This window comes from Homo sapiens, chromosome 4 (genome assembly GCF_000001405.40).
Source record: "Homo sapiens chromosome 4, GRCh38.p14 Primary Assembly".
Lineage (NCBI taxonomy): Eukaryota > Metazoa > Chordata > Mammalia > Primates > Hominidae > Homo > Homo sapiens.
In genome coordinates, this window is record NC_000004.12 from 40,266,295 (window position 1) to 40,275,259 (window position 8,965).

Consider the following 8,965-nt stretch of genomic DNA (forward strand, 5'->3'; position numbering starts at 1 on the left):
CAAAAGGTATCTGAGACAGGTCTCAATCAATTTAGAAAGTTTATTTTTTCAAAGTTAAGAATCTGCTTGTGACACAGCCTTGGAAGGTCCTGACAACATGTACCCAAGGTAGTCAGACACATCTTGCTTTTATGCATTTTAGGGAGACACGAGACATCAATACATGTAAGATGTACATTGGTTTAGTCTGGGAAGGTGGGACAACGTGAGGCGGAGACTTCCACGTCATAAGTAGTCAAAAGACAAAAGGCTGCAGTGGACTCTTCGGAGTCCTTGATCAACCTTCCACTGAATACAAAATTTAGTCTGGCTCAGTGAATCTGCAATTTTACATAAATAATAGGGCAGAGGAAGCAATTGGATACGGATTTGTCCCATGTGAGCCTCTAAGGGATGACTTTGAGTTCTGTTCTGTCTGTCCTTTGTCCACAAGGAATTTCCTTGTAGGTAAATTGTGAGGGAAGTATGGAGCTTTTTATCTTTGTAGCCATCTTATTTAGGAATAAAATGGGAGGCAGGTTTGCGTGACATAGTTCCCAGCCTGTCTTTTCCCTTGGCTTTGTGATTTTGGGGTCTCGAGATTTATTTTCCTTTCACATTTCCATCCCTGTATTGCTTTTTTTTTACTTCCCAATGTTACAGGAAAGGGGTACTGATCCAGACCCCAAGAGAGGGGTCTTGGATCTCGCACAAGAAAGAATTGAGGGTGAGCCCGTACAGTAGAGTGAAAGCAAGTTTATTAGGAAAGTAAAGGAATAAAAGAATGGCTACTCCATAGACAGAGAACCCCCAAGGGCTGCTGGTTGTCCATTTTTCTGGTTATTTCTTGATGATATGCTAAACAAGGGGTGGATTAATTATGTCTCCCCTTTTTAGACCATATAGAGTAACTTCCTGACGTTGCCATGGCATTTGTAAACTGTCATGGCGGGAGTGTAGCAGTGATGATGATCAGAGGTCACTCTTGTGGCCATCTTGGTTTTGGTGGGTTTTGGCTGGCTTCTTTACTGCAAACTGTTTTATCAGCAAGGTCTTTATGACCTGTATCTTGTGCTGACCTCCTATCTCATCCTGTGACTTAGAATGCCTTAACCGTCTGGGAATGCAGCCCAGTAGGTCTCAGCCTCATTTTACCCAGCTCCTATTCATGATGATGTTGCTCTGGTTCAAATGCCTCTGACACCAGGAAGAGGCTTCCTATATTTCAGAATAAAATTTCTACACCTAAACTTTCTGCTGCAAATATTCACTACCTCTTCTAGGAAAGCTCTGGTGCCTGATTCTGCTGAAAGCATCTTTTTTCTCCCCGCTACTCGCCGCTCCCCCCACCCCTACTCCTTATCAAATGACCTCTCTTTCAGAAAGAAGAAAAGAAGATATAAAGGTAAGGGAACATGAGAGTAGAGAAATGCTGCCTAGCCACATACAATTTTTTGCTTTAATTCATTGTGTTCTTGGAGAGACTATCAAAAGCTTTCATCAGAGTCTCAAGAGTCCATGACCCCGGAATTTTAAGAGCTGCTGCTACAAAAGGATTCATGAAATCCTCTAAGAAAAAGGCACAGAAAGTTCAGGGAGGGTTTATTAAATTAATTTTACCCCACTGTCTGATTTTTGGCAGGTTATCTAATTTTTTTTTTTAACCATGAGCATGAACAGTGTTGCTTATTTTCCTGACTACCTTGGATGGCCCCCAGAATCATATTATTCTAATTGCCAACTAGAGGCCATCCCATTCTTCAGCCCACCACCCTCCAAGCTACCCTCCATTGTGTACCATGAACTGTAATCCAAGCAGCTCTCTTGTTGGGGTTAAAGGCCTCTAGTCCCACCTATATGCCTTTCTCTTGCTCTGTTCCCCAGCCAGCCCTTCACCCCAGCCAGGCTGGCTAATGTACTACCCATGTAAACCAAAAATAAAAGTTTAAGTCACTCAACGGACTGAATGGACCCCCCTTCTTGGCCAAAGGAATTCTAAAGTAAACCTGAAAAATTAGTTCAGGCCATCGTGGGAAAGGGGGTTGGACATGCCACATTATACCCTCCTTTCTTTGGAATTCAGGCACAACTGACCAGCATTAATATTAAAATAGGAACCTGGGCAACAGAAGGATACCTTTTCTCTAAAAAAATCAAAACAAAGACCAGGCCCAGTGGCTCACACCTGTAATCCCAGCACTTTGGGAGGCCGAGATGGGTGGATCACCTGAAGTCAGGAGTTTGAGACCAGCCTGGCCAACATGGTGAAATCCTGTCTCTACTAAAAATACAAAAAATTAGCCGGGCGTGGTGGTGTGCACCTGTAATCCCAGCTACTCGGGAGGCTGAGGCAGGAGAATCACTTGAACCTAGGAGTTGGAGGTTGCAGTAAGCTAAGATCATGTCACTGCACTCCAGCCTGGGCAACAGAGTGAAACTCAGAAAAAAAAAAAAAAAAAGAGACAAAAACCAAACAACCAAACAAACAAAAACCATATAACAACAACAACAAAATTAAAATGGAGATCTTAAGACTGACAAAACAGGCTTTTGTAGCAATAAGATACCAAATTCCAACCTAACTCTAGTATCGTGCCACATGTCAGATAGCAGGCCCTGAAGGAAATTATTTTATCCTCAAATATATTTATCTGATGTATTTAGATATGGCCCCACAAAGCTGTCTCTTATGGGAGAAATGTATGTCTGGTCTTGAACTCATGGGCTCAAGCGATCCTCCCACCTCAGCCTCCCAAAGTGCTGGGATTACAGGCGTGAGCCACTGCACCTGGCTGAAATTTACATTCTGTAGAGAATCCTCTTCCCTTTCCAGGTTTTTTTTTTTTGGATCCTGAAGAGATTAGCTGAGAGTATGGCACTTTTTAAAGGTCTGAATAGGAAACATTTGTCATCTGTTGCCTCTAAGGGTGTCCACCTATGAGACTTCATCTACATAATAAGAACCTTAATCTCCACAACCCCTTATCTTAGCCCAGACACTCCTTTGTATTGATTCTGCGTCTTTAGATAATAACTTAACTCTCAACCCATTGCCAAACAAAAAAAATCTTTGAATCCACTTATGACCTAGAAGTCCTCCAAAGACATCCACTTAGAGTTGTCTGGCCTTTCTGGACTGAACCAATGTATACTTCACATGTATTGATTGATGTCTGCCTGTAACTCCCCTGAAATGTACAAAATCAAGCTGTAACCCAACCACAGAGGCACATGTTCTTAGGACCTCCTAGGGCTGTGTCATGCATGGGTCATGGTCCTCATATTTGGCTCAGAATAAATCTCTTAAAGTATTTTAGAGTTTGGCTTTTAAATCAATATCCACAACAGGAGCATCACAGCCATTTGGCTCTAGGCCATCACTCATGATGTCCTTGTCATCCATTCCTCTTGGTTCTCTAGATCCTCTGTGTCATTTGAGGTCAGCTCTTCTGAAGTGAGGAACCCTGTCTCTGTGTTCCAATAGCATTCCATTTTCCCTATCAGGTACAACACCATGTGCTCCAACTCTCTACCTCCATCTCGCTCACTGGTCTGTGAGCTTTCTTAGAAGAGGGCCTGAGTCTTGTTCACTGGTGTCTGTCCAATGGTCCCAGTGGTCCCTGGAACATAGTCTGTACATGAGAAATGTTTGTTGAATAATTGAAGCCTTGTCTGACAATTGATTTTGGTCCTGTATTTCTCCAAATTTTTAATATATTTATTGTTTCTACCAATGACTGATGATCAGAATTACTGGGAGAGTTCTTATGAAATACAAATTTTCAGAGCTCTATTCCAGCTCTACCAAATTACAATGTAGAGGGGAGGAGCCTAGAATCTGTATTTCCACAAAGTTCTCCAGATGGTTCTGATAATCTAGTTTGCTTTATATTAGTGATACAGGAGTTAAGAAGAAATCAGGCAGATTGCAAGGGTATGGGATTCCGCAGTAAGGCTTTTCTTTTTAATGAAAAGCAGTCCCAAATCATTTTCTAACAAAGAGCAGCCTGCAAGCTGGGAGCTTACTGGGGTGACTGCCGGCAGGAACTAAGGACTAGACATTTTCAAGATGGCGGCTCCGTATTCCCTTCTCTGCCAGCCACGTGTGCTGCAAAGAGCCAACAAGATGGGCCGGGCACTGTGGCTCACGTCTGCAATCCTAGCACTTTGGGAGGCCGAGGCGGGTCGATTGCCTGAACTCAGGAGTTCGAGGCCAGCCTGGGCAACGGGGTGAAACCCCGTCTCCACTAAAATACAAAAAATTAGCCGGGCGTGGTGGCATGTGCCTATAGTGCCAGCTACTTGGGAAGCTGAGGCAGGAGAATTGCTTGAACCCGGGAGGCAGTGAGCCGAGAATTGCTTGAACCCGAGGTTGCAGTGAGCCGAGACAGTGCCACTGCATTCCAACCTGGGCGACAGAGCGAGATTTCATCTCAAAAAAGAAAAAAAGCAGACAAGATGGTGCAGATCAGCTGGAAAGCCTATTTGCATAAGAAGATGCAAATAGGTGGGGCAACCAGCCTTCCCCACCGGCTATGTCAATGTCATACCTGATCAAACCAATTTATGAGCCCTATGTAAATCAGACACCGCCTCCTCAAACCGGACTATAAAATTCTGCGCATTCACTGCCAGCCAGTCCTTTCTGCTTGGAAACCTCTTCCTCTATAGAGGAAGCTGTTTCTCTTTTTTTTTTTTTTTTTTTCTTTTTTGAGACGGAGTTTTGCTCTTGTCGTCCAGGCTGGAGTGCAATGGCGCAATCTGGGCTCACTGCAACCTCTGCCTCCCGGGTTCAAGCGATTCTCTTGCCTCAGCCTCCCGAGTAGCTGGGATTACTGGCCCCCCACCACCACGCCCTGCTAATTTTTTTGTAATTTTAGTAGAGATGGGGTTTCACCGTATTAGCCAGGCTGGTCTCAAACTCCTGACCTCAGGTGATCCACCCTCCTCGGCCTCCCAAAGTGCTGGGATTACAGGCGTGAACCACCACGCCCAACAGTTATAAAATATTTATATATTAATTCGAAGTAACAATAATAAACCCAGCAGATGTTAGCATAAATAATATATTCTTAAAATAAAAATAACTATATTTTACTTAAAAAATTTTGATGAGAAGATAGCCATTGTCTTATGTTTTTGCCAATTGTTTTAGTGTTTAACTTAGCAGATGACAGCTGGATCTCAGATCTGCTTCTGCATTCAATTTGGTGCACTTTGCAATTTGTTGTCTTGGATTCAATACATGAAGAAAATTCAGCTTCACACATGTAGTTAGAACAAAGAGAAGTATTTTAATAGCCTTTTCAGATCATTGTGGATATTTTTCTTTGATAGTATTCCAAAAATTAAGTTATAGTTTCTGAAAGGTTAGTTGCGATGCGGAATCTGAAACCATATCAATGAGCTTTTTGAACTTTGTATATTTGTAGAAAATGAGAGTGAAATAGACAAGTAAGGCTTTAGTATTGAGGACTAAACTCTGATTTTTTTTTTTATCTTGCCCAAATTCCTACCTAAGGGGTCTGGGGAGTCATGCCCTATGAATCATACATTCTTATCAGATGGGTTTTATTTAACCCTATACTATATATCGTGACTTACTTTCCAACCTGACTCTGGCGTAACATTACCAGACAAGAAATCAAAATATTTTTACCCCAAAACATGTTTCTTTGACATATTTGAAGTGGCCCTGCAAAGCTGTTCTTTGTGGGGAAAAATTTGTATATGTAAAGAATCTCTATTAACATAGTTAGATTTTTTTCTTCCAGACCCTCCCAGTGCTAAAGAGATTAATTAAGATCTGAACAGGAAACATTTGTCATCTATTGTCTCTAAGGGCAGCCACTATAAGACTTCCAAAGAACTTTGGTCTCCACAATCTCTATCTTAACCTGAACATTCCCTTTCTATCTATCCCAGGTCTTTAGACAAACTCAACCAATTGTCAACCAGAAAATGTTTAAATTCACCTATAGCCTGGAGGCCCTCCTGCTTTGAGTTGGCCCGCCTTTCTGGACCAAACCAATGTATTTCTTAAATGTATTTGATTGATGTCTCATGCCTCCCTAAAATGCATAAAACCAAGCCACGGCCCGACCACCTTAGGCAATGTTCTCAGGACCTCCTGAGGGCTGTGTCATGGGCCACGGTCACTCATATTTGGCTCAGAAAAAGTCTTTTCAAATATTTTACAGAGTTCGACTCTGTTTGTCAACAGTATCATTATGAAAATAGTTTTGACTTCATGGTTCTCTGAAGTCTTAGGGAACCCCAGGGGTTCCTGGACCACAATTTGAGAAGTGCAACTATATTCCTCAACACTCAGCACTTATATCTTGCTCTTGGCCTTTTTTTGGTTTTTTTTGATAAAGGGTCTCACTTTGTCGCCCAGGCTGGTGTGCAGTGGTGTGATCTCGGCTCACTGTAACCTCTGTGCCTCCCTTGTTCAAGGAATTCTTCCACCTCTGCTTCTCTAGTAGCTGGGACTACAGGCATGCGCCATCACGCCTGGCTAATTTTTGTATTTCTTGGTAGAGACAGGGTTTTGCCATGTTGGCCAGGCTGGTCTCGAACCCTTGACCCCAAGTGATCCGCCCACCTTGGCCTCCCAAAGTCCTGGGATTATAGGCGTGAGCCACCGGCCTCCGATTGTTTTATATTCATTTATCCAACAAATATTTGTTGAGTGCTGATGTGTGCCAGGCAGTGTTCTGGGCTTTGGGGTTCTAAATATAACTGATCCATAACCAAATTATATTGAGGATAAAAGCTCCAATTTCTGCCTCATGAGAACCCAGTTTCAGGGCTGCTGCTTGGTCATTTGGCATCTTTGTATAAATTGGAAAAAGTCAGGCTGGGCGCCGTGGCTCACGCCTATAATCCCAGCACTTTGGGAGGCTGAGGAGGGCGGATCACCTGAGTCCAGGAATTCAAGACCAGCCTGACCAACATGGGAAACCCCTTCTCTACTAAAAATATAAAATTAGCTGGGTGTGGTGGCGCATGCCTGTAATCTCAGCTACTCGGGAGGCTGAGGCAGGAGACTTGCTTGAACCCGGGAGGTGGAGGTTGCGGTGAGCTGAGATGCATACCATTGCACTCCAGCCTGGGCAACAAGAGTGAAACTCCATCTCAAAAAAATAAAATTAAATTAAATTTTAAAAAAGAAAAAAAAATGTCGTGTCCTCTGAACAGACGCACCTCTGTAAGCAAAGAACTTCTCCTGTGGATGGACATTACCTTGCACTGGATACATTGCAAGACTGGCTTGGTGAGAGGAGCGTGGGCAGAATTACAGCTGCCACTCACTCCTTGACTGGGTATCTTTATGCAGTGAACAATTTATGCAACTGCTCACGCCCTACATGTTGTATATCTTTCTTGTTCTCTTCATTGATAAGCCTCAGAGCCAGAATTCAAATCCAGGGAGTGAGGTTACAGAAAGCTCCAGAAAGTCTGTGACCTTTGCTACAGACTATGCAGTTTCTGATGCATAGTGAAGACTCACCGAGTGGCAAGGGTATGGGTAGTAGTTGATAATACTATATCTTCTTAGCTTAATCCACCTCTGAAGCAATTCTCTACACAAACGTGATAACTTGGCTCTTCCTAAAGACAAAAAGTATAGTTAAGAACTGAATCTAGGCCGGACATGGTGGTTCACACAGGTAATCCCAGCACATGAGGTCAAGGCGGTCAAATTTCTTGAGCTCAGGAGTTCAAGACCAGTCTGGGCAACATGGTGAAACCTGTCTCTACAAAATATACAAAAATTAGCCAGATGTGGTGACATGTGCCTGTAATCCCAGCTACTCAGGAAGCTGAAGTGAGAGAATCACTTGACCCTGGGAGGCGGAGGTTGCAGTGAGCTGAGATCACGCCACTGCACTCCAGCCCGGACGACAGAGTGAAACTCTGTCTCAAAAAAAAAAAAAAAAAAAAAAAAAAAGAAAAAAGAACTGAATCTATTTCACAGATGGACCTGTACTCCATTAACTTAAGCACAAATATATATTCAACAACTACAAAGAATACTGGTCCATTTTGGTGTTAATTACCAAACCTTTGTCACCAGAGCATGAATGAATCTTCACCAAGTAACATTATCTAGGAATTGGCCCTGTCTTTACCTGCGTCCAGTGCTACTGATGATTCAAGTAGAAGAGAACTGAGAATCATCCATTGCGTTTATCAATGTAGCAGTAACCTTACTGAGAGCAGTTTTAGCAGAAAGATGTTGGCAAAAGCTTGATTGGAGTGTGTCTCATAGAGAATTTTTAGTTTTGTCTAACTCAAAACTTAAAGAATGGAGCCTTCATTAGCTGTATTTCTATAGATCTCTGTATTTGATTTAGTTATTGTCTTAGTCCATTTTGTGTTGCCATAACAAAATATCACAGACCAGGTAAGTTATTAAGAATAGGGATTTATTTCTTACCTTCTGGAGGCTGAGAAGTCCAAGGTCAAGAGGCCCACATCTGGTGAGGGGTCTCTTACTGCATCTTGCCATGGCAGAAGGTGGAAGAGCAAGAGAAGACAAGTGCATGAGAGACAGATGGTGGGGAAGAGCTCTGGCTGATCATGTCATTTCATCAGGAACCCACTCCCGTGATAATTAACCCACTCTTCAAGAACAGCATTAATCCACTCATGAGGGCAGAGCCTCTTAACACTGTCCCACCTCTTAACACTGTTGCATTGGGGATTAAGTTTCCAACACATGAGCTTTGGGGGGAAACATTCAAACTATAGCAGTTATATATGATATCTCTACTACTGCATGAACGTGCAAAGAGTATAGAAGCAATTTTCAGCCAGTTCTGCTGACATCTCTGCTGCAGTTGCCTTCAAATGTGAGTACATGTGGTAGGACCCTCTTTGCTGCAGAATAATAAGACTTGCCTGTGGTTGGCTGAGGACAGCTTGAGTCTAAGGGGAGTCTCTCAGCTTAATCAAAGCTCATACCTGCAGACCTTCCTGC

General features: G+C 42.9%; 2 annotated features.

Moving 5' to 3' along the window:
* Positions 3,072-3,890: an enhancer, noted in NCBI's record as "H3K27ac-H3K4me1 hESC enhancer chr4:40270986-40271804 (GRCh37/hg19 assembly coordinates)". NCBI's record gives its function as "activates a minimal SCP1, AML or CMV promoter by ChIP-STARR-seq in naive and primed H9 embryonic stem cells {active_cell/tissue: H9 hESC(naive and primed)}" and the evidence as "EXISTENCE:reporter gene assay evidence [ECO:0000049][PMID:30033119]".
* Positions 3,891-4,707: an enhancer, noted in NCBI's record as "H3K27ac-H3K4me1 hESC enhancer chr4:40271805-40272621 (GRCh37/hg19 assembly coordinates)". NCBI's record gives its function as "activates a minimal SCP1, AML or CMV promoter by ChIP-STARR-seq in naive H9 embryonic stem cells {active_cell/tissue: H9 hESC(naive)}" and the evidence as "EXISTENCE:reporter gene assay evidence [ECO:0000049][PMID:30033119]".